Source organism: Homo sapiens, chromosome 8, assembly GCF_000001405.40.
Source record: "Homo sapiens chromosome 8, GRCh38.p14 Primary Assembly".
NCBI lineage: Eukaryota > Metazoa > Chordata > Mammalia > Primates > Hominidae > Homo > Homo sapiens.
The window spans coordinates 14,800,224-14,825,591 of record NC_000008.11 but is presented as its reverse complement, the minus strand read 5'-3'; the positions used below and the strand labels follow the sequence as shown (position 1 = coordinate 14,825,591).

Genomic DNA, 25,368 nt, shown 5'->3' with positions numbered 1-25,368 from the left:
TCATTACACAATGTATACATGTATAAAATCATCATGTTGTTCAAGTACATACAATATTTATTTACCAAAAATTTAAAGTCACAATTATTTTGTATAGAAAAATTATTAAATAATGCCATAAACTTGACAATGCACAAATTACTTTTAATTGTCTAAAAATGATGAAACGATTTTTATATTTTTTGAGTTCTTCAGTAAGTTCCGTATTACTATAAATCTAAGCACATGTATTAAAAAATTGTAAAGATTCTATTAGGTTCTAGAGTGTGAAAACAAGAATAGTGAGAGATAAGTGACGATACACATAGGAACAGGTAATTAGAGATTTCATGTATCTTGCTAAGGATTTCACAGATGGGAAGCTATAAAAGGTTTTCTTTACTGGATGAATGTATAATGTTAAGATTTTTGTTTTTAACAGATAATTCACAGCGCTCCATGAAATATCAATTTAAGAGAGAGGAAGTAGTGTAGATTACCAGTAGGTTACTAGCTGGATGCTGATGACAATAACTGATATTAACTGAAAAGTAAACATTGAAGGAAATTCAGTTTAGTATAGTGTGGGAAACAGTATTTTCAGTTTGGGACTCTGCTAATTTAGGGATATGTGTTGGTCTTGTAATACAGTATGTCTACCAGAGTCTGAGGCTCACATGAAGAAATTTAGAATGTTGACAAAAAATTGGTATCCATAAGCATATAAATCACAGTTGAAAACAAAGTAGTAAGAGTTTGTTCAAGGCAAACCTAGAGTGAGTAGATCAATAGAGAAGAAGGATTTCTATACTACATCGCTGAAAATTTAAGCGTTTATGTAGAAGATATTTTGGGATAAGGAGATCCAGGGGAATGTAAGCTCAAGGTAGCATAGGCAGTGAAATTTCTTAATTATCACTCATTCCTCAAACAAGGATTTTAGGATTAATTCATATTTAGATTTTGTTAGTCAAGCAGGATGTAAAGGCAGGTTCTTGGTCTTCACATGATGAGAATAAATAATGAAGGCTTTAAAAGTTCAAATGGTCTTTATTATGGAAGCCAGGGCATGAGAAACATAGGATGTCATATCAAGAGTACATCCTGGATTTTTTAAAATTATGATATGGAAATATTTGAAGTAACAATGAGGAATTTTATTGGTTTTAGTGTCAGTAATTTAGGGGAGTAGACATGAAAATTTTTAAAATTTATTACTATTAAAGTGGCACACTATAATTGTACATATTTATGGAGTATAATTTGATTCTTTGATACAAATCTATGTTGTATAATGATCCAATAATCGGTAGTCAGTGTATCCATCCCCTGATGCATTTATCATTTATTTGTGGTGAGAACATTGAGGAGCCCCTCTTGGTAATTTCTAATGCATAATTTTTACTGTTAAATATAGTCACCCTACTGTGCAGTGGAATGCCAGAATTTATTCCTTCAACCCATTTGTAAGTCTGTTTCTCTCGAAAAACCTTTTCTCATCCTCCTCTCCTCTTTTGCTTCCCTAGTCTCTGGTAACCACTGTTCTATTCTTTGCTTCTATGATATCCTCTACCTTTTTTTTTCCCTTTAGATTCTATATATAAGCAATACCCTGCAGTATTTATTTGTCTTTCTGTATCTGGCTTATTTCATGTAACATCATGTCCTCTGTGTTCATCCATGTTGTTGCAAGTGACAGAATTTAATTCCTTTTTAAAGCTGAATCATATACCATTGTCTATCTATTCCATATAATCTTTACCCATTCATCTGTTACTGCATGCTCAGTTTGATTATCCGTCTTGTCTATGGTGAGCAGTGCTGCAAAAAACATGTAACTCCAGGTATCTCTTCAATATAGTGATTTATGTCCTTTGAATATAGACACAGGAATGGAATTGCTGGATGATATGGTAGTTCTATTTTTAATTTTTTGGAAGAACTCCTATACTGTTTTCCATAATGCATGTACTAGTTTACAGTCCCAAGAACAGTGTGTAAATATTCCCTTCTCTCTACAAGTTCTCTAACATTGGTTTCCTTTGTCTTTTTCTTAATAGCCATTCTACCTGGAAAGAGGTGGTATTTATTGTAACTTTAAGTTGTAGTTGCTTGACGATTAGAAATGTTGAGCATTTTTTCATATCTGTTGGCCTTTCTTATGTATTTTTTTGAGAAATGTGTGTTAAGGTCTGTTGCCCATTTGTTAATTGAATTATTTATTTTTTATTGTTGAGTTGTTTCAATTCTTTACATATTCTGGATTTTAAATCTTGTTAAATATATTGTTTGCAAATATTTTCTTCTGTTTTGTATGTCGTCTCATCACTTGGTTAATACTGGCCTTTCCTGTGCAAAACGTTTTTTTGTTTGATGTAATTCTGTTTGTATATTTTTGCTTTTGTTACCTGTGCTTTTGAAGTCTTATTTAAAAATTTCTTGCCTAGCCCAATGTCATGAAGCATTTCCACTGTTTTCCTTTTATTTCTAATAGCTTCACGGTTTCATGTTTTGCACGAAAGTTACACAGAAGTCTTTTTTTTTTTTTTTTTTTTTTATGAGGATTGGTGTGGCTTCATTGCCCAGGCTGGAGTGCAGTGGCGCGATCTTGGCTTACTGCAATCTCTGCCTCCCAGGCTCCAGCAATTCTCCTGCCTCAGCCAGCCAAGCAGCTGGGGTTATAGTGGCATGGCACTACATTTGGTTAATTTTTGTATTTGTTGTAGAGATGGGATTTCACAATGTTGCACACGCTGGTCACGAGCTGCGCTGAAGCCTTGAATTCATTTTGAGTTTACTTTTGTATATCATGAAAGGGAGCAGTCTATTTTTGTTCTTAATGTGGATATCTTTTTTTTTTCCAGCACAATTTATTGAAGAGACTGTCTTATCCCCAATGTTCTTGGCATCTTGGTTGAAAATCAATTGGCTGTAAGTGGGTAAATTTGTTTCTGGGCTCTCTTTTGTTCTGTTGGTTTACATATCTGTTTTTATACCACCACCATGCTGTTTTGGTTTCTATAGCTTTGTAGCATATTTTGAAGTTAAGTGGTGTGATATTTTTAGCATTGTTATCTTTGCTCAGGATTACTTTGGCTATTTAGGGTCTTTTGTGATTCCATGTGAATTTCTTTTTTGTTTCTGTGAATAATGTCAGTTGTATTTTGATAGGCATTGCATTAACTTTGTAGATCACTTTGGGTGGTATGATCATTTTAACAATGTTAATTCTTCCAGTTCATGAATGTGGAATATCTTTACACTTAATTCTGTCATCTTCAATTTCTTACATCAAAGTTTTACAGTTTTCAATGTACACATCTTTCACCTCCTTGGATAAGTTTATTCTTAGCTATCATTTTTTTTGTAGCTATCAGAAATGAAATTGTTTTGTTGATTTCTTCTTCATAGGCTTAATTATTAGCCTATACAAACGCTATCCATTTTTGAATGTTGATTTTTGTGTCCTGAAACTTAACTGAATTTATTTATTAGTTCTAACCGTGTGTGTGTGTGTGTGTGTGTGTGTGTGTGTGTGTAATCTTTAGGGTTTTTTATATTTAAAATCAAGTCATCTGCCAACAGGGACAATTGACTTCTTTGTTTTCAATTTGGATGTCCTTAATATTTTTTCTCTTGCCTAATTGTCCTGGCTAGGATTTTTAGTACTATGTTGAAAAGAAGTGGTGAAAAGTTAGCAACCTTGTCTAGTTCCTAATTTTAGAGTGAAAACTGTAGACTTTTTCCCCATTCGGTATGATAGTAGCTGTGGATTTGTCCCGTATGGCCTTTATTGTGTTATTTGCCATTTATACCTAATTTGTTGATAATTTTTTTTCATGAAGGGATGCTGAATTTTGTCAAATGCTTTTTCTGCCTCTATTAAAATGATCATAGGGATGTTTGTCTTTGTTTCAATTAAAGTGATTTATCACATTTAATGATTTGGGTATGTTAAGACATTCTTGCATCATAGAATCAGGTTCGCCTGATCATAGTGCCTGATCTTTTTAATGTGCTATTGGATTTGGTAGGCTAATATCTTGCTGATAATTTTTACATCTATGTTCATCAGGGATATTAGCCTATATTATATATTTTTTTAATTTCCTTATTCATTTTTGGAATCAGGATAATGCTGGCCTCATAAAGAGTTTGGAAGTTTTCCCTCATCTTTAGTTTTCTGGAAGAGTTTAAGGATAATTGGTATTAGTTCTTTTAATGTTTGGTTTAATTTAGCAGTAAAACCAACAGATGTTCCTGGCTATACTTTGATGAGAGAATTTTTATTACTGACTCAATTACCTCTCTCATTATTGTTCTGTTCAGTTTTTCTATTTCCTCATAATTTAATTTTAGTAGACAGTGTATGTCTAGGAATGTAACTGATTCTTCTGTGCTATCAAATTTGTTGATGTGAAGCTGTTCATTCATAATAGTCTCTTATCAGCCTTTGTATTTCTGTGACATCAGTTTTAACATTTCTTTTTTCATCTCTGATTTTATTTGAGTTTTCTTTTATTTTTGTTGTCTATCTTAAGGTTTGTCAGTTTTGTTTATCTTTTACAAACCAATTGTTTTGTTGATCTTTTCATTTTTTGAATCGCTATTTTACTTATCTCTGCTCTGAGCTTTATTATTTCCTTCCTTCAACCAATTTTGAGTTTAGTTTTTTCTAGTGTTTTTTTTTTGTTCCTTTAGGGTGTTTTTATGTTTTTTATTTGAAATCTTTTTTTGTTTTTTGATCTAGGGGTTTATTGCTAACCTCCCTCTTAGGAATGCTTTTGCTATGTTCCATAGGTTTTGTTGTTTCCCTTTTTGTTTGTCTCAAGAAAAATTTTTAGATCCCTTTTAATTTCTTCATTAACCCATTGGTTTCAAAGGAACAAGTTGTTTAATTTCCATGTTATTGTAAATTTTCTGAAGTTTTTCTTGTTGACTTCTAGTTTTACACCATGGTGGCTAGAAAAGATACTTACAAGAGTTCAGATTTTTAAAATTTGTTAACACTCGTTTGTGATCTAACATGTAATCTATCCTGGAAAATGTTCCAAATGCAGTTGAGAAGAATGTGTGCTCTGTAGCTGTTGGATGGAAAGCTGTACAAATGTTCATTAAGTCCATTTGGTTTATGGTACAATTTAATTCCAATTTTTCTTTGTAGACTTTTTTCCTAGATGAAAGTGGGGAACTCAAGTCCTATACTATTATTTCATTGCAGTCCATTCCTTTAGATGTAATAATATTTTCATTATATACCTGGGTGCTCCAGTGTTGGGTGTATATATATTTGCAACTATTATATACTCTTATTGAATTGATCCCATTTTCATTGTATAATGATGTCTCTTCAGTCTCTGACTTAAAGTCTGTTTATAAGTATGGCTATTCATGTTGACTTTGGTTTTCATTTGCCTGAAATGTCTTTTTCTATGCCTTCCATTTAGTTGATGTTTGTCTTTAATTATTAGGTGAGTCTCTTGCATGCTATGTATAGTTAGGTCTAATTTTTTCTCCATTTTTTCTCCATTTAGCCACTCTATACCTTATGTTTTAATTGGACAATTTAATTCATTTATATTCAAGGTGGTTTTTGACAGATAAGGAGTTATTCCTGCCATTTTGTTAGTTGTTTCCTGGTTCTTTTATAGGTACATTGTTCCTTTCTTACTCTGTGGCTGTTTACTTTAGTAGTTTGGTGGTTTTCTGTGGAGCTAGCTTTGTTTCCTTTCTCTTTATTATTTGTGTATCTGCTTTAATTTCTTTCTTTGTGGTTACTATTGTGCTAACATAAAATCTTGTGGTTAAAATGGATTATTTTAGGTTCATAGCAACTTGACTTTGGTCACATAGAAATACTCTACAATTTTTCCCTCTTCTCTACAATGAATATTTTTGTTGCTCTAATTTACTTATTTATCTGTTGTGTGTTCCTTAGCCACTACTTGGAGCTATTGTTTTTGAGCATTTTTAATCCTTCATACTGGAGTATTGAAAGATTTACACTGCACCATTACTTCACTAGGGTGTTCTAAGATTGAATTATACATTTATCTTTGTTGGAGAGTTTCATACTTTCATGTGTTTTGTGATAATTATCCTTCTCATGTTTGCAGTTGTAGCACTTTCTTGAGTGTTCCCTATAAGGCCAGTCTTGTGATTGGACTTCCCTATAAGGCCAATTTTGCAGGCTAGGAGACAATGGGATGATATATACAAAGTGCTTAAGGAAAAAACAAACTATTTGCTAAGAGTACTATTTCCAGGAAAACTGTCCGTCGTAAATGAAGGAAAAGTAAAGACCTTCCCAGACAAGTTAAATCTGAGAGAATTCTCAGCTCTTCATTCCATTCTTTCCTAGCCTGCAAGATTTCTGCTACACAATCTTCTGATAGTCTAATGGGAGTTCCCTTATATGTGACTTGACACTATTCTCTTGCAGCTTTTAGAATTCTACTTTTACTTTTACTTTTTTTTTTTTAGAATTCTGTCTTTTACTTTTGAGAGTTTGATTATAATGTGCCTTGGAAGGTTCTTTTGGGTTGAATCTATCCACAGATCTTTGAGCTTCCTGAATCTGGATATCCATATCCCAATACATAGAATGTTTTCAGAAATTATTTCATTAGATGACTTTTCTGTTCTTTTTTCTATCTCTTCTACAACTGGAATACCTGTAATGAGATTATTTGTTTAGTGGTATTCTATAAGTCCCATAGGCTTTCTTTATTTGCCCCCATCACTAGATTATTTTTAAAATCCTGTCTTCAAAATCAGAAATTCTATCTTCTGCTTGATCTAATCTGTTCTTGAAGCTCTCAGTTGTATTTTTTATTTCCTTCATAGAATTCTTCAACTCTAAGATATTTTTAATTACATCTTTCTCTTTGTTGAATTTCTCATTTAGACCATAAATTGTTTTCTTGACTTCAGTGAATTATTTGTTTGTGTTCCTTTGTATCTCATGAAATTTCCTTAAGATTATCAGTTTGAATTCCTTTTCAGATATTCTGTAAATGTCCTTTGCTTTGGGTTCTGTTAGTGGAGACTTATTGTACTCCTTTGAAGCCATCATGTTTCCTTGACTTTTCGTGTTTGCTGTTTCCTTACAATGATATAACTTTTGTAGGGGAAGAATTTTTCCTATGGATGGGTTCTTTGGTGTCGATTTGTTATGGTATGTTGGTTTTGGTTCTGGCTAGCCTCTGTGGTCTCTGTGCAGTTTCTTTGGCTATAATTCTCATTAGCAATGTCTGCAATTGCCTCAGTGGGTAGGCTGTACAGTTTGTGATGGTGGTGGCACAGTATTGCTTGGGGTGAGAGTATCAGGTTAGTCGTCAGGCCAGACATGTGTGTGTACAGAGGCCTAACAGGCTGGCTGGTGGGCTCTCTGGGGAGGCAGTGGCTGTTGACAGGCTGGCTGTTAAGCTGAGCTCATGAATGTGTGAGTGTGACCAGCTGGGAGATTGTGCAGCTGTCTCTCCAGGGAGTTGGGGTCACTGCAAGATTGGAGGTCTGCCCAGTGTGGGTGGGCTGGGCACAGAAGGGCCGGATGGCTTCATGGCACTCTGTCCAGAGAGTCAGAATTGCTGTCATACAGACTATTGGGATAAGTAAATGTACCTGCAGGCATATCTGGGCGAGGTGCCTCTTTGGCAATATATTAAAGTGGACAGGTCCACTAAGGGACTGCCTGTTGAGCCAGGTGTGAGTGTTTGCAGGCACAGTGGATTCAGGTGGCTCTGCAATGATCTGGGGTTGGGGCATAGGGAACCACAGGGCTGACTGTTGAACTGGATGTAGCTGTGTGCTGGTTTGCCAGGTTGTACATGGGCTGTGCACAACAATGAGCGCACATGGGCAAGTCAGTCAGCTGGCTATTTAGCAGCTTCTCCATGTTGCAAGTGCAGTTGTTCCCTGGCGGAATGAGGGTGGTGCCATGTGGGTTCAGACATTGAGATCTTGGTAATTCCATCTGGCCTAGGCTCCAGGCATCCAGAGTTGTAGTGCTGTAGGCACCTGTGTGAATGTGGTATAGTGACAATGGTGTCTCAGGAATGGGAATTCAGTTGAAACTGATCCCTAGGGCAGAAAGTACTCTAGAAATGGGTCTAGTTTCAAGATGGTGCTGTGCTGTAGCAGCTTAGGTTGCAAGGGTAAGGGCTCCTAAGTTGGCCTCCTACTCTGAAGCGATGCAGCCCCTGGCTACTCTTCAAACTGGATTCAGGGCCTGTGAGGACTGGGGGCTCTCTTATAGTAAAGATTGCTTGTATTTTGTGGCAGTAGTGATGACCACCGGAGATCTGCTTACCTTTTCCCTGTAAGACAAAATCCTCCATGATGCTGAGCTGATCCTGTTAGGTGAGACTATGTGGCAGAGGCAGGTGCCTCCATCCCCTCTCTATGGCGTTATCCTGGGCTTCTGTGACACACAGAAGGAGGCAGTCTCCCTTAAGGAAAAGGATGTTACTGAGTGTGCAACATGTAATGAAGTGTTGGTATAACTACTGGGAAGGGGAGATGAACCAAAATAGTGTGGAAGAAGCTATCTCTATAGATCATGAAATGGACAAAACTTTTAATGTGATTTGAGGAATGATGGTACCACTTGACCTTCAGTTTCTTAATGAAACTCTGGTATCAATTGTGAGCTTAGACACAGTCTAATTAAAAAGTAATTGTGATATATGTATTTTGGTGTTAGGACTAAAATTGATAAGTGCAGACATGGAAAATATAACATATTCTCTTTGCCTTTTTGGCAGATACATTTGCTGTTTGGTGCATTTTGGTAATTGAATTAAATTAATACAATTTAATTAAGTTAGTTCATTTTTAAGGCTATAAACATATATAAAGGAGGATATATGGAGCTTACAATTCTTTTATCAGTATACTTCTTCTGTTGGAGACTTCGGTATTACCAAATTATTCTGTGATTTTAACATGGTTAATTTCTTATATTCACCTCAGAGTCCAACAACTGAACTAGAGTAACTTAGTATAACTGAGAAATTAATAACTCTTGAGAATTTGTTCCCATCCAACATCATTCCATTGTATGCTTTTTATGATAATTATTTACATAGTTAATTATACTGATGAACAGAAAGTTGAATTTCACAGTTATATACCTACACATATAAGGGAAAATTACTGAACAGAAATCAGTGAATATAACATTGTACTTTCTGACTAACCAGTGAAGTCTGAGGTATCCTGTATTACACACTCATAACACACTTAACTAATTGTCAAAGTGTTGTAAAAGTTTTTAAGGAACTGTGGGCTGGTAATGTTTCCTCCAGCCTCATCAGAGCATAGAACAGGCAGAAATACGTTGAAGAGCTGTAGAACTGTGCTGCTCAAACGAATAACCACTCACACGTGTGTAGTGAATATCTGAAATATGTCGAGACTGCATTGAGAGATGATGAAAGTGTCTAATTCCCACTGCATCTTCGAGACTTAGTATACAAAATGTAAACATGTCAATATTTTTAAAAATACCAATTGCATGTTGAAATGGTTGAAATATATTTGACATACTGCATTAAATGGAATATATTGTTAAAATTAATTTCACTGGCCTCATTTTATTTTTTAAAAAGTGATTTGAAAATTTAAAATTGTATAATGGCTCACATTATATTTTTATTGGATGATGCTTCTAAAGAGGGTGGACCAACATCAAATAAATTAGGTAGACAGCATTCTTTCTTTTGATAGGCTTTATTTTGCATACAGTTACTCCAAGTGAAGTCTTAAGAATCTCCTGTGTTTTCACACATAACATCAGTTTTATTCCATAATACCACAGATAACATCACATATTATCAGATAGTATAATAGATTGCCCTCATTTGTAATATTTTAGTCACTTTTCTGTTTCCTGGGTCTGGTTAGACTCCTCATGCTGAATGGAATAGTTGTTCACACTGCTACCTTGATAATGACATAGTAGTTTGAACAGGAATAGGTACTGCATATTTCTATACATACTCTGTGTGGTACTAGTGATAATATTATTGTGACATTTAAGTATGTGCTGGCATAGGTGCAGACAATGTCTAAAGAATTCATAGTGATTTATTCCTGGAAGATATACTGCCGGAAGAAATATTTTCATCACAAAGGTCCTGTTTTTATTCTTACTCTCCCATCTCTACATCCATCTAGTCCCTTTTGTTTTGAAGTAAGTAGTTATGAACCACATGCAAAAAAAAAAAATCATACAAGTTGCTTGAAAAACTGGCAAATGTAATAATTAATTTTATTTTATCAACTTTCCGCTATGTATAAGGGTTATGAAACAAATTTTTCTTTGCCTTCTATTTTTTATTTGCTTCTAAATTTCAAAAAAAAAAAAGAAAATTGAGATAATCTACTCAAGTAAATGAATTATTCTGCAGAAAAATTTCAGCAGTCTACAAAGACATTGAGCACTTTCTTCTCAACATACACTTACTAATTGAAGTATAACCAAAATAATAACAAATACCCTGCCTTTTGACAGGATGTCATGTTGGGACAAATTGCTCCAATAAATAAAGTGAATTACCACATATCAGAGAATCTCAGTTTTCAAATCAGGCACATCAGAAACAAGAAAAAATGGAGGCAGAAGAAGTAACCGAGTTCAGAACAGTAGTTTTCTTTTTTTAATGTCCTATTACAGAAACAGCAAACATTAATTAGGATGAAATAGCAACTATATGTAGCTGGTAAAATTACAAGTATTCCTAATCTGTTATACGGACACATTGCCCTCTTTATAAAATTACCATAGTTGGCTGAAAAAGTACTGTTTTCAGTCATAATACCTTGCTCAAGAAAAAAGAAATAGTCTTAACCGATTTCTGCAAGGAAATGATGAGATTTGGTGATGAGAGAAGTCAACTCAAGAAACAAACAAAAAATTCTCCAAGTTCCTACCTGCCGAGCTGGCAAGAAATTCATTCCCAGCTTGCGTCCTCCCATCTTCTCTGAACTCTTAAAATAATCCTATACTTAAGTAGGGCCAAATAACAAGATAGATAGAAGGTCAATTATTTCTTTGGCTATGAGATGCTGCTTTACATACTTGGTTCCTGCCTTCAATTCTTATGGCACTTCTGGGGGCCCTCTTAGGAGCCTCCGGTGCCTTTTGTTTCCCTTACTTTATACTGGAAAGTGCTATTGGCCCTGCCTTCCTAGTTCTGTGCAAGTGGGGATGTAGCTCTTTGAATCTTTGCCCTTCCTTCTTCTACCTCCTCTCCACGCTTAGGAAAAACTCAAACAGGGCCCTAGTTTTAGAGCTTCAGTCCCTTCTATACCCCATCTTTTAGGCTGACCATTTAAGGAGGTAGAGGCGTAGTCAGGTCCCCTAAGGCTTTTAAAATAACGCAAATATGGCTTATTTGTTCTGAGATGAGACGTTAACATAAATATTTATTTATTCTATTCTGTAACTTATTAATTATTTCAAACTCAAAGTAAAATGCTTTTTCCTATATCCTGTTCTTAATATAACTGTTTTAAGTTATTTAACAGGCACATCATAAAAGACATGTCTATTAAGTGCTGCATACTGTGCTAGGGCCTCCATAGACATGATTTAGTTATCTTTTGTAGCACTTGTGGGTATGTGTTTTTATTTACTTATTTGCTTAGTTAGTTTTGAGACATAGTCTCACTCTGTTGCCCAGGCTGGAGTGCAGTGGCACTATCTTGGCTCACTGCAACCTCTGCCTCCAGGGTTCAAGTGATTCTTCTGCCTTAGTGTCTTGTATAGCTGGGATTACAGGCATGCACCCCCATGCCTGGCTAATTTTTTGTATTTTTAGTAGAGATGAAGTTTCTGCATGTTGGCCACGTTGGTCTTGAACTCTTGAACTCAGGTGATCTGCCCACCTCCCTCTCCGAAAGTGTTGGGATTACAGGCGTGAGCCACTGCTCGCGGCCTTGCTTTATTATTATTTTAAGTTTATAGGTGACATAATGGTGACCTACAAAGTTGGAAAGACTAGCTACTTCTGTGTACTGGAGCTGGAATTTCAGAGCAAGATTTTCTCAGTCCAAAAGTGTGTATTACGATTTTCCCTGTTAGTCTTATTTGACTTCATTTTATTGAACAAAATAAAAATATATTTTCCCCAAACAGAGTTGTGTAACGAACAATTTATCAGATTTGCATTTCTAGCTATAATGAGTTAACCTGCCCACTCTCTCTTCCATAAGCTTTTGGTTGCATTTTGTCTGTTTTGTTTCATCTCTAAGTGGGTCAATTAACATTCAGATTTATTTTTCTAACTCTTAAAATAGAGATTATATTAAAAAATGAAATTTCATACGACGTGAATACAATGTACATGTATTCCTGTATATTGAGGGAGAAACTCTTCCAAAGATGACTGGTAAATCGCTAGCATATTAGGATCATTTTATGCATTAAAACAAATCTTCATCGTTTTTGAACTCTTTGAGGCAGTCAGATGGTGATGGCTCTCCCAGTATCTGCAATGCATCAGGTTTTCATAGTCAACAAAATATTTCAAACTTTAAAATTTTTGTTATTTAAGAGTATTTAACATTTCAATTATTCAAATTTATTTTAGACTCTCTTCAGATTTACTGAGATATAACATCCAGGGCCTTGGGAACATGCTTCTTGAGTTATATAATTATATAAGTCTGGCATATTATTCAGGAACATTAGGGAATATCCTCAAAGGAAGAGTTTTCTCAGCATTAGTGTCAGAAGGTTTGCAAAATGCAATGCTTTTTTCAAGTTTAATAAGCATGCTTGATAATTGTGGAAGCTTATCTATTAATAAATAAGACTCACAGCAATAACTATAAAAGCACTGTTAAGTTAAATCTTCTAGAAGACAGGAATGAAGAATGGTCATTTAAACCGTCTGATTGTCTCCAGAATCATCTTAATTATTCATCAGTTATAATGCGCAAGAATTATATGATATTTTAGCTCACTTATATAGTTTTGTGCTGAATATATTTTAGGGTGTTTGGAGGCCATTTAGGTTATGATATTACAAAACAAGATACTCAGTCTCAAATTATGGAAAGAATTCAAATGAAGCCAACGTTTGAGCAGACTGAAATGTTCACGTGTGATGTTTTCCTGAGTCATTCTTTGGGGTTATATTCCAGGCCTGTGTTTTACCTTGTTGACAAACAAATACTCTGTAATAAATATATTCAAAACATCTGACATGGCTAACAGATTTATGTAACAATTCATAGGCAATTTGAATATTAAATTTATTGCCAACTATGTTTGTATATCTTTGTTCCTTTTAGCAGGGCAGAGACAATATTCTGTAGATGCCAATTCAAAGTTAAATGAATGTGAATGTTGGAAAAAATAAATTGATTTACAAGTAAATATTTTTCCCAAAAAATTGCTTTAAAAATATTTATATAAATTTTAATATCATTATGTAACATTTTACATTTGTATATAATATTTTAAAATATCTTTAAAATGTATAAATTGCTTCAAAATTTGTACTGTTTCAGTTGAATTTAAGAAATTAATATTTGCTGATCCTTTACTATAAGCTTGGCCCTGTCTTACCCCTATAATCCCTTTCCATACTCATCCCATACCCATTCCTGAGTTGCATATCATTCTCAGGGTACAGATGAGAACTCCAGCTCAGGATAATTAATTGATGAATGCAGAAAATAGTTATAATTACTTAAAAATCAAATGCTTATATATAATTGAAATAAAAGCAGTGATATCTTTGTGGTTCCACTAAAAACATTCAGTTTCCAAGATTCTATTTGATCTGAAAGGGAATTGGAATAGCAGCTTTGAAAATGATTTGAGTGAATATCTTCATGTGTCATTTCTGTTACCTGGAATTGCTTCTGTATGATCACGGCAGTGCGTCTAATAGTCAGAACCTGTGCTTTTGGGGAGAGGAGACAATGTACTCTTTTAATGGCTGTTCTCCAGATTCTATGAAATTTATGTGAAAATTTGATTTATTCAAACAAAACCTTCTCTTTTTCTGGCCCTCTCCCATAACAACTATAAGGAGTGGAGTGTGATTCCGAAAAAAAAAAAAAAAAAAAAAAAAAAAAGATGCAGTGTCTTTCAGCGAATGTTTCATGGTAGGCAAGTCACTTAGTATCTCTGACGATCTCCAGGTTGTTTTTGTTTTTGTTTTTGTGCTGTTTTATTTTTCATCTATAAACAAAGCCAGTGGAGTAGAGCAATGCTTTTTAACTTTATTAAAGCACTACAGCTCATCATTCAAATAAAGTTTATAGGTGGGTTTTGATATGTATAAACTGATGTAAGTTAAATTTTATTGGAATAAATTTTTATTGTAAGTTTCAGTTCACAGCATTTATTTATTATAAGGACACTAAATGAAACACTGAATTCATTTTAATGAACACAACAAATTTGAAATCTAAGTTTATGATGAACAGAGAAGTTATTCTATTAAGATTGGATTGCAGTTTATTTCTGTGTTCTATATTTCTTACAGAAAATCCTGACAGTTTTTAAAAACTTTTTTTATATAAGCTTAGCTTTCTTCTATTTCAGGACACTACAGTTAATCTAGAAATTTGGGGGAAAGATGTACTAAAAATGTTGTACATCAAAATTTAATTCCAAATGATATAAACTACTGACATCCTTTTAAAATTGTTTTCCAAGTGAAGGGGATTGATGATAGCATTTTAAAGGAGGATTTATTCTCTATGTTATGCACAAAATACTTTTAAAATATTTTGTATTATAGTCAGTGGTGTGTTGGTCAATGTTTAATAAGAGTCTCTTCAAATAAACAAACAAGTAAATAAACAAACCTGAATTTATAGTGTTTACCAATTTCTGTTGTGAAAATACTATCAGTATAGCTGATTTCAAGCTACTGCCAGGAAGTCACTGAACCAGAAGTTGAAAAATAATGTATCCAGTTAGCTCTCTCTTGCTGATTGTAGCCATCTCCAGTGCAATATCCAATGAACTGATGTTGTTTAAGTTTATAATGTAAAACACCTTTGATACCTTGGATTTTTGTTTGATAATAAATAACACTTTCAAAACAGACATTTATTTTTTGTGCCTGTGGTACTGAAACTTGGAGCTTCATTCTTATTCCTGATACATTATTATATTTTTAAGTATGATGGTGTGTTAGTGGAAGTATTTGGTTAAAAAAATCAGCAAAGCATACACACTGCTGCACCATTTCTTAAAAAATGTTAATATGAATTTTTCTATTAGGAAAATAGAATATGATCTTTCTCATTGCTTCAAATATCTATAGCAATACCTTACTTCAGGCTAACAAACACAATTTGATTTAAAGTTCTAAAACTTCTTGAATTTTTGATTTTCAGTAACAGAAAAAAATTGCCTTACCAAATTCACAATCTGCTAATTATATTAAGTATCTTGTTATTTCTTTTTTATGTAACATGCCATGATAATAAGAGCTCATTTTTAGTCTCTAATCCTGAAATTTTTTTGCCATTACTTCCTTACCTTCAGCACTGAAATTTCACACTTTTTCTAAAATAGTCTGTGGTATGTTAAAAACAGATCTAAAAGATATACTTTTTCTTGATTTATATGTCAAGTGTTTAATGTATATGCCAGCTTGAGTTTCTTAAAATAAGGAAAAACCATATAGTTAAATAGATTCTAAGTATCTAAATATCCATCTAATCAGCTGTAAATAGTTTCTTAAATCTTAGCCTTTTAACTAATCAAAACATTTCTTATGGCTTGCGTTCTTAAACATCAGAATTAATAGTACTTTTGCAGTATCTTGCTAATGTTGACTTTTCTGTTGTATTATCAATATCATAGAAAGTTTTTCCCAGATAGTGCACAGTCCTCCCTCATGGGTACTGCGGTCACTTCTTTGGATGTACATTTCCATTTTCAGATTTAAATTATAGATGCATGAATTTTGATAGTCTTAAATCCATTCACTTTAAGCTATAGACAATTGAGGGTCTAGTATTTGTTCTACTGTGCTCTACCTCAAAATAATGTTATAATTTGATAGCAACCATTGAAATATTGTCAAAACTTCATTAAGGAAATAAAATGGAGAATTGGTAATTTTTATTACCATACCAAGTGGTTTCTATGCCGAAAAAATTCTTGCTGGATTTGTCTTCAGGACACTTTGTGTTTTTAACACAAGGCAAAGACCATTTCATATCCTTCTATCAATGTCTTCATCATTGTTTAAACAATCATTTAGTGCCAGCAAAACAAAGTTTTTCATTTCATCATGATCCTGGCATATCTTATATTCATGATGAAATTTTCTTACACATTTCTCCTTTGAAACAGTTTGCTCTTTTATTTATTTTTATTTTTTTATTTTTCTTCTTTTATTATTATACTTTAAGTTTTAGGGTACATGTGCACATTGTGCAGCTTAGTTACATATGTATACATGTGCCACGCTGGTGTGCTACACCCACTAACTTGTCATCTAGCATTAGGTATATCTCCCAATGCTATCCCTCCCCCCTCCACCCACCCCACAACAGTCCCCAGAGTGTGATGTTCCCCTTCCTGTGTCCATTTGATCTCATTGTTCAATTCCCACCTATGAGTGAGAATATGCGGTGTTTGGTTTTTTGTTCTTGCGATAGTTTACTGAGAATGATGATTTCCAATTTCATCCATGTCCCTACAAAGGACATGAACTCATCATTTTTTATGGCTGCATAGTATTCCATGGTGTATATGTGCCACATTTTCTTAATCCAGTCTATCATCGTTGGACATTTGGTTTGGTTCCAAGTCTTTGCTATTGTGAATAGTGCCACAATAAACATACGTGTGCATGTGTCTTTATAGCAGCATGATTTATAGTTCTTTGGGTATATACCCAGTAATGGGATGGCTGGGTCAAATGGTATTTCTAGTTCTAGATCCCTGAGGAATCGCCACACTGACTTCCACAATGGTTGAATTAGTTTGCAGTCCCACCAACAGTGTAAAAGTGTTCCTATTTCTCCACATCCTCTCCAGCACCTGTTGTTTCCTGACTTTTTAATGATCGCCATTCTAACTAGTGTGAGATGGTATCTCATTGTGGTTTTGATTTGCATTTCTCTGATGGCCAGTGATGATCATTTTTTCATGTGTTTTTTGGCTGCATAAATGTCTTCTTTTGAGAAGTGTCTGTTCACGTCCTTTGCCCACTTTTTGATGGGGTTGTTTGTTTTTTTTCTTGTAAATTTGTTTGAGTTCATCGTAGATTCTGGATATTAGCCCTTTGTCAGATGAGTAGGTTGCGAAAATTTTCTCCCATTTTGTAGGTTGCCTGTTCACTCTGATGGTAGTTTCTTTTGCTGTACAGAAGCTCTTTAGTTTACTTAGATCCCATTTGTCAATTTTGTCTTTTGTTGCCATTGCTTTTGGTGTTTTAGACATGAAGTCCTTGCCCATGCCTATGTCCTGAATGGTATTACCTAGGTTATCTTCTAGGGTTTTTATGGTTTTAGGTCTAACGTTTCAGTCTTTAATCCATCTTGAATTAATTTTTGTATAAGGTGTAAGGAAGGGATCCAGTTTCAGCTTTCTACATATGGCTAGCCAGTTTTCCCAGCACCATTTATTAAATAGGGAATCCTTTCCCCATGGTTTGTTTTTCTCAGGTTTGTCAAAGATCAGATAGTTGTAGATATGCGGCGTTATTTCTGAGGGCTCTGTTCTGTTCCATTGATCTATATCTCTGTTTTGGTACCAGTATCATGCTGTTTTGGTTACTGTAGCCTTGTAGTACAGTTTGAAGTCAGATAGTGTGATGCCTCCAGCTTTGTTCTTTTGGCTTAGGATTGACTTGGTGATGCGGGCTCTTTTTTGGTTCCATATGAACTTTAAAGTAGTTTTTTCCAATTCTGTGAAGAAAGGCATTGGTAGCTTGATGGGGATGGCATTGAATCTGTAAATTACCTTGGGCAGTATGGCCATTTTCACGATATTGATTCTTCCTACCCTTGAGCATGGAATGTTCTTCCATTTGTTTGTATCCTCTTTTATTTCCTTGAGCAGTGGTTTGTAGTTCTCCTTGAAGAGGTCCTTCACATCCCTTGTAAGTTGGATTCCTAGGTATTTTCTTCTCTTTGAAGCAATTGTGAATGGGAGTTCACTCATGATTTGGCTCTCTGTTTGTCTGCTCTTGGTGTATAAGAATGCCTGTCATTTTTGCTCATTGATTTTGTGTCCTGAGACTTTGCTGAAGTTGCTTATCAGCTTAAGGAGATTTTGGGCTGAGACAATGGGGTTTTCTAGATATACAATCATGTCGTCTGCAAACAGGGACAATTTGACTTGCTCTTTTCCTAATTGAATACCCTTTATTTCTTTCTCCTGCCTAATTGCCCTGGCCAGAACTTCCAACACTATGTTGAATAGGAGTGGTGAGAGAGGGCATCCGTGTCTTGTGCCAGTTTTCAAAGGGAATGCTTCCAGTTTTTGCCCATTCAGTATGATATTGGCTGTGGGTTTGTCATAGATAGCTCTTATTATTTTGAAATATGTCCCATCAATACCTAATTTATTGAGTTTTTAGCCTGAAGCGTTGTTGAATTTTGTCAAAGGCCTTTTCTGCATCTATTGAGATAATCATGTGGTTTTTGTCTTTGGCTCTGTTTATATGCTGGATTACATTTATTGATTTGCATATATTGAACCAGCCTTGCATCCCAGGGATGAAGCCCACTTGATCATGGTGGATAAGCTTTTTGATGTGCTGCTGGATTCGTTTTGCCAGTATTTTATTGAGGATTTTTGCATCAATGTTCATCAAGGATATTGGTCTAAAATTCTCTTTTTTGGTTGTGTCTCTGCCAGGCTTTGGTATCAGAATGATGCTAACTCCCTAAAATGAGTTAGGGAGGAGTCCCTCTTTTTCTCTTGATTGTAATAGTTTCAGAAGGAATGGTACCAGTTCCTCCTTGTACCTCTGGTAGAATTCGGCTGTGAATCCATCTGGTCCTGGACTCTTTTTGGTTGGTAAGCTATTGATTATTGCCACATTTTCAGATTCTGTTATTGGTCTATTCAGAGATTCAACTTCCTCCTGGTTTAGTCTTGGGAAAGTGTATGTGTCGAGGAATTTATCCATTTCTTCTAGATTTTCTAGTTTATTTGCGTAGAGGTGTTTGTAGTATTCTCTGATGGTAGTTTGTATTTCTGTGGGATCGGTGGTGATATCCCCTTTATCATTTTTTATTGTGTCTATTTGATTCTTCTCTCTTTTTTTCTTTATTAGTCTTGCTAGTGGTCTATCAATTTTGTTGATCCTTTCAAAAAACCAGCTCCTGGATTCATTAATTTTTTGAAGGGTTTTTTATGTCTCTATTTCCTTCAGTTCTGCTCTGATTTTAGTTATTTCTTGCCTTCTGCTAGCTTTTGAATGTGTTTGCTCTTGCTTTTCTAGTTCCTTTTATTGTGATGTTAGGGTGTCAATTTTGGATCTTTCCTGCTTTCTCTTGTGGGCATTTAGTGCTATAAATTTCCCTCTACACACTGCTTTGAATGCGTCCCAGAGATTCTGGTATGTTGTATCTTTGTTCTCGTTGGTTTCAAAGAACATCTTTATTTCTGCCTTCATTTCGTTATGTACCCAGTAGTCATTCAGGAGCAGGTTGTTCAGTTTCCATGTAGTTGAGCGGCTTTGAGTGAGATTCTTAATCCTGAGTTCTAGTTTGATTGCACTGTGGTCTGAGAGATAGTTTGTTATAATTTCTGTTCTTTTACATTTGCTGAGGAGAGGTTTACTTCCAACTATGTGGTCAATTTTGGAATAGGTGTGGTGTGGTGCTGAAAAAAATGTATATTCTGTTGATTTGGGGTGGAGAGTTCTGTAGATGTCTATTACGTCCGCTTGGTACAGAGCTGAGTTCAATTCCTGGGTATCCTTGGTGACTTTCTGTCTCGTTGATCTGTCTAATGTTGACAGTGGGGTGTTAAAGTCTCCCATTATTAATGTGTGGGAGTCTAAGTCTCTTTGTAGGTCACTCAGGACGTGCTTTATGAATCTGGGTGCTCCTGTATTGGGTGCATATATATTTAGGATGGTTAGCTCCTCTTGTTGAATTGATCCCTTTACCATTATGTAATGGCCTTCTTTGTCTCTTTTGATCTTTGTTGGTTTAAAGTCTGTTTTATCAGAGACTAGGATTGCAACCCCTGCCTTTTTTTGTTTTCCATTTGCTTGGTAGATCTTCCTCCATCCTTTTATTTTGAGCCTATGTGTGTCTCTGCACGTGAGATGGGTTTCCTGAATACAGCACACTGATGGGTCTTGACTCTTTATCCAACTTGCCAGTCTGTGTCTTTTAATTGGAGCATTTAGTCCATTTACATTTAAAGTTAATATTGTTATGTGTGAATTTGATCCTGTCATTATGATGTTAGCTGGTGATTTTGCTCGTTAGTTGATGCAGTTTCTTCCTAGTCTCGATGGTCTTTACATTTTGGCATGATTTTGCAGCAGCTGGTACCGGTTGTTCCTTTCCATGTTTAGCGCTTCCTTCAGGAGCTCTTGTAGGGCAGGCCTGGTGGTGACAAAATCTCTCAGCATTTGCTTGTCTGTAAAGTATTTTATTTCTCCTTCACTTATGAAGCTTAGTTTGGCTGGATATGAAATTCTGGGTTGAAAATTCTTTTCTTTAAGAATGTTGAATATTGGCCCCCACTCTCTTCTGGCTTGTAGGGTTTCTGCCGAGAGATCCGCTGTTAGTCTGATGGGCTTCCCTTTGAGGGTAACCCGACCTTTCTCTCTGGCTGCCCTTAACATTTTTTCCTTCATTTCAACTTTGGTGAATCTGACAATTATGTGTCTTGGAGTTGCTCTTCTCGAGGAGTATCTTTGTGGCGTTCTCTGTATTTCCTGCATCTGAACGTTGGCCTGCCTTGCTAGATTGGGGAAGTTCTCCTGGATAATATCCTGTAGAGTGTTTTCCAACTTGGTTCCATTCTCTGCATCACTTTCAGGTACACCAATCAGACGTAGATTTGGTCTTTTCACATAGTCCCATATTTCTTGGAGGCTTTGCTCATTTCTTTTTATTCTTTTTTCTCTAACCTTCCCTTCTCGCTTCATTTCATTCATTTCATCTTCCACTGCTGATACCCTTTCTTCCAGTTGATCGCATCGGCTCCTGAGGCTTCTGCGTTCTTCACGGAGTTCTCGAGCCTTGGTTTTCAGCTCCATCAGCTCCTTTAAGCACTTCTCTGTATTGGTTATTCTAGTTATACATTCTTCTAAATTTTTTTCAAAGTTTTCAACTTCTTTGCCTTTGGTTTGAATGTCCTCCCGTAGCTCAGAGTAATTTGATCATCTGAAGCCTTCTTCTCTCAGCTCGTCAAAGTCATTCTCCATCCAGCTTTGTTCCGTTGCTGGTGAGGAACTGCGTTCCTTTGGAGGAGGAGAGGCGCTCTGCGTTTTAGAGTTTCCAGTTTTTCTGTTCTGTTTTTTCCCCATCTTTGTGGTTTTATCTACTTTTGGTCTTTGATGATGGTGATGTACAGATGGGTTTTCGGTGTGGATGTCCTTTCTGTTTGTTAGTTTTCCTTCTAACAAACAGCACCCTCAGGTGCAGGTCTGTTGGAATACCCTGCCGTGTGAGGTGTCAGTGTGCCCATGCTGTGGGGTGCCTCCCAGTTAGGCGGCTCGGGGGTCAGGGGTCAGCAACCCACTTGAGGAGGCAGTCTGCCCGTTCTCAGATCTCCAGCTGCGTGCTGGGAGAACCACTGCTCTCTTGAAAGCTGTCAGACAGGGACATTTAAGTCTGCAGAGGTTACTGCTGTCTTTTTGTTTGTCTGTGCCCTGCCCCCAGAGGTGGAGCCTACAGAGGCAGGCAGGCCTCCTTGAGCTGTGGTGGGCTCCACCCAGTTTGAGCTTCCTGGCTGCTTTGTTTACCTAAGCAAGCCTGGGCAATGGCGGGCGCCCCTCCCCCAGCCTCACTGCCACCTTGCAGTTTGATCTCAGACTGCTGTGCTAGCAATCAGGGAGACTCCCTGGGCGTCAGACCCTCTGAGCCGGGTGCGGGATATAATCTCGTGGTGCGCCGTTTTTTAAGCCCATCGGAAAAGCGCGGTATTCGGGTGGGAGTGACCCGATTTTCCAGGTGCCGTCTGTCACCCCTTTCTTTGACTAGGAAAGGGAACTCCCTGACCCCTTGCGATTCCCGAGTGAGGCAATGCCTCACCCTGCTTCGGCTTGCGCATGGTGCGCGCACCCACTGACCTGCGCCCACTGTCTGGCACTCCCTAGTGAGATGAATCCGGTACCTCAGATGGAAATGCAGAAATCACCCGTCTTCTGCGTCGCTCACGCTGGGAGCTGTAGACAGGAGCTGTTCCTATTCGGCCATCTTGGCTCCTCCCGGGACAGTTTGGTCTTTTAAAGGTGATTATTTCACTTTTTTAAAAAATAAATGATTCATATGCAATATTTTATTTGTTATACAAGTCCCCTTAACATATATGTCATGGTCAGTGACTGCCTGAGGCCCCATGGGTGGTAAAATAATTTAGTAATACAGGAATAAATTTAAAAGGTCAGATTGATTAAAGAAAAAATACGTTCCAAGGGAGCAGTGGGCAAGACAGCAGAGTCAAGGCTGTCTGCTATCTACAAACAAGAATGGGGCTGGAGGAGGAGTTTTATAAGGTCCTGCTGCTTTAGCTGAATGCTTGCAGACAGGAAGCTTCAGTGCAGGTGGGCTGTGAGTTGAGTGCCTGTAACAGGATGCTTTGGTGTTAATGAGCCATTTGCAGTTCACCCTATTTCTTGGAACATTCGCTCCTCTTTATCTCATCTAAGCCCATTTTTCAATTTGTCTTTTAACTCCTTAGGGCTCCACAATACACATGCTAAAACACCATAATATATACCAGTTTCAATAAGCAATGTTTTGTATATTTAGTTTTGGGGAGGAAAATCATTTTTGGAAAATATATATATATTTGTGTGTTTCTCTCTCTGTCTCTCTCTCTCTGTGTTTGTATGTGTGTAAAATGCAGACCATCTTATTCATAAAAAAGGCGGCAGCAAATGATCATTACTGATTTTAATTAAATGGTGATTTTGAATCACTGGCTCATAAAATGGTTCCTCCATGGGAGTATCCCCTGAATGGGGGTATTTATGAAGTGTCACTGCTTAAAATTACTTTTTAAAGGGTTGAATTAAAGTGTAATGTCACCAAAATGCTAGAATTATCCAGGCAGCTGTTTTCTTTTGTTAAGAACACATTTTTATTTATGTTTTATTTATATTTTTAGTCATATCCTAGGCATGGCAGCTTAGTGATTTATTCATGGGGAAGCACCTTCTAAATACACATTAAGGGTTTAAATTTTTGTCTTTCTTATTCCCATGCAAAGGATAGGAGGAGGGTGTAGGTAGCTGACTCCAAGGTTTTCCCCTTGCCTTTCTAGAGTGCTGATGACAGAGGTCAAATTCAACTCAAGATTTTCAACCTTCTGGCTAAATCATAGTTAACGCAACCCGTCATTTCCAACATGCTCTTTTCTCTCAAGGGAAGATTTGTTCATCTTCCAACATTACTCTCTTTCCTAATTTCTTTTCCATATTTTAAAAGTGCTCCTGCCCAGGACTGAGCTTTGCTAGAAAACATCCCTTCTCTCATATTTGGACTGCTTTCCATGTGCTATGATTGGGATTTGATTTCCAGTTTGTCAGTTTCTCATTAGGAAACTTGCCAGGTTTCCCCATATTTCAGTCTGCTTTTCTAACCATCCTCTTGTATATTTTTAAAGCACATAAAAATTTGGTGCTCTTTTTCCTTACCTCAGAACATTTTGATTTTTTGTCAGTGAATCATTTCAGTCATTTCTTAATTTGTTGACCACATGATCTTGATCCTTCTAGCAAGTTTTCTATCCTTTAGTCTCTGCCTGATTTTCCCCCAACTCCAAATGCAAGTCTATAATAATTTCCTCACATTTATTTTTGCCATTCTATATGGTGTTTCCCTGATCTCTGTCCGTTCTTACCTTGGCCATTTACTTTACGATCTGTTCTTTCCCTGGAAGTAAACAAGGTGAAAATAAACATAATCTGTCTGTACTTTCTTATATTTAGGAGTTTAAGCATTTTAATCTTAATAGGAAAATTATTGTTACATTATATAGTGCTACATCCATCTTCCAAATTTATAATTTGCTTTGTAAATATTCTAAAATAAGTATATCACTTACCATACTTCATAGGATTTTTTCCTCATAAAAATGATTCATTTCCTTAGTAAAGCAAATGAGATTACATATTCAAATATCAATGAAATGCCAGTAGCATATGCATATATTTGCTGATGTAATGACCAACCCATATAATTTCTGTTTATCTTCTCTGTTTCAATACACTGAGTTTGTGTACACATACACACACAACACAAACACACATACACACATATACATGACCAATGCGATCTTCGTTATTTGGTATTCATAGATCTTTTGTAGATTGGCTGGAAGGAATGGTCACTTTTCTTCAAAGACTTTCTAACTTATCAGTCATTCAATATAATTCAGAAACACTCATAATTGAAATTATAGTTATAAAGTTAACCTGGTATTCGGAGCTAGTTTCCTTTGTTCTTGATATCCTTTGGTGTTTAAAATACTAACATGTGCAGAAGATAAAACCATTATGGTTGTCATCTTTTTTCTGATGTTTTTTGTTTGCTTGTGTGGTATATGAGTGAGACTAGCATTCCACCTCTATATTTTGAATTTTTTAATGTTGAGTAGTATAGTGTATTAGTCTGTTCTTACATTGCTATAAAACATACTAGACACTGGGTAATTTATAAAGAAAAAATGTTTAATTGACTCACTCCTCCATATGGCTGGGGAGGCCTCAGGAAACTTACAATCATGGCAGAAGGGGAAAGGGAAGCAAAGCACGTCTTACATGGCAGAAGGAGAGAAAGAGAGAAGGTGGAAACACCACAGACTTTTCAAAGAACCAGATCTCCTGGGAACTCTATCAGGAAAACAGCATGGGGGAAGTTCACCCACATGACTTAATCACCTTCCACCAGGCCCCTCCTCCAAAACCTGTGAATTACAATTCATGATGAGATTTGGGTGGATATGCAGCCAAACCATATCAAGTAGCTAATGAAATTCATAGAGATGCAAAATAAAAAATATTCCTTTCCATTTTCATATGCACCTTACATAAACTTATGGGCCAGGATTAACCCCTTCCCTATTCCTCTTTTTGCTCTATCTATAGTATGAGGTACAACAGGTTAAGTATTAAAAAAATTTTAGACACACCCACTAGAGTGATAGACATTTTTATGTCTTTTTGGTATTTAAAATTAATGTACCTGATTTTTCCTAAA

The 25,368-nt window shown here is 36.0% G+C and overlaps 1 protein-coding gene across 4 annotated transcripts in view, besides 3 other annotated features; it reads left to right on the top strand.

Moving 5' to 3' along the window:
• The window catches only part of SGCZ (sarcoglycan zeta), a 1,153,587-nt gene that overhangs the window by 412,840 nt on the left and 715,379 nt on the right, over positions 1-25,368 (top strand). The gene's annotated exons all lie outside the window — the stretch shown is intronic.
• Positions 21,526-22,257: an enhancer, noted in NCBI's record as "H3K27ac-H3K4me1 hESC enhancer chr8:14660844-14661575 (GRCh37/hg19 assembly coordinates)". NCBI's record gives its function as "activates a minimal SCP1, AML or CMV promoter by ChIP-STARR-seq in primed H9 embryonic stem cells {active_cell/tissue: H9 hESC(primed)}" and the evidence as "EXISTENCE:reporter gene assay evidence [ECO:0000049][PMID:30033119]".
• Positions 22,258-22,990: an enhancer, noted in NCBI's record as "OCT4-NANOG-H3K27ac-H3K4me1 hESC enhancer chr8:14660111-14660843 (GRCh37/hg19 assembly coordinates)". NCBI's record gives its function as "activates a minimal SCP1, AML or CMV promoter by ChIP-STARR-seq in naive H9 embryonic stem cells {active_cell/tissue: H9 hESC(naive)}" and the evidence as "EXISTENCE:reporter gene assay evidence [ECO:0000049][PMID:30033119]".
• Positions 22,595-22,795: a silencer, noted in NCBI's record as "peak6907 fragment used in MPRA reporter construct". NCBI's record gives its function as "represses an SCP1 promoter by STARR-seq MPRAs in K562 erythroleukemia cells {active_cell/tissue: K562}" and the evidence as "EXISTENCE:reporter gene assay evidence [ECO:0000049][PMID:32103011]".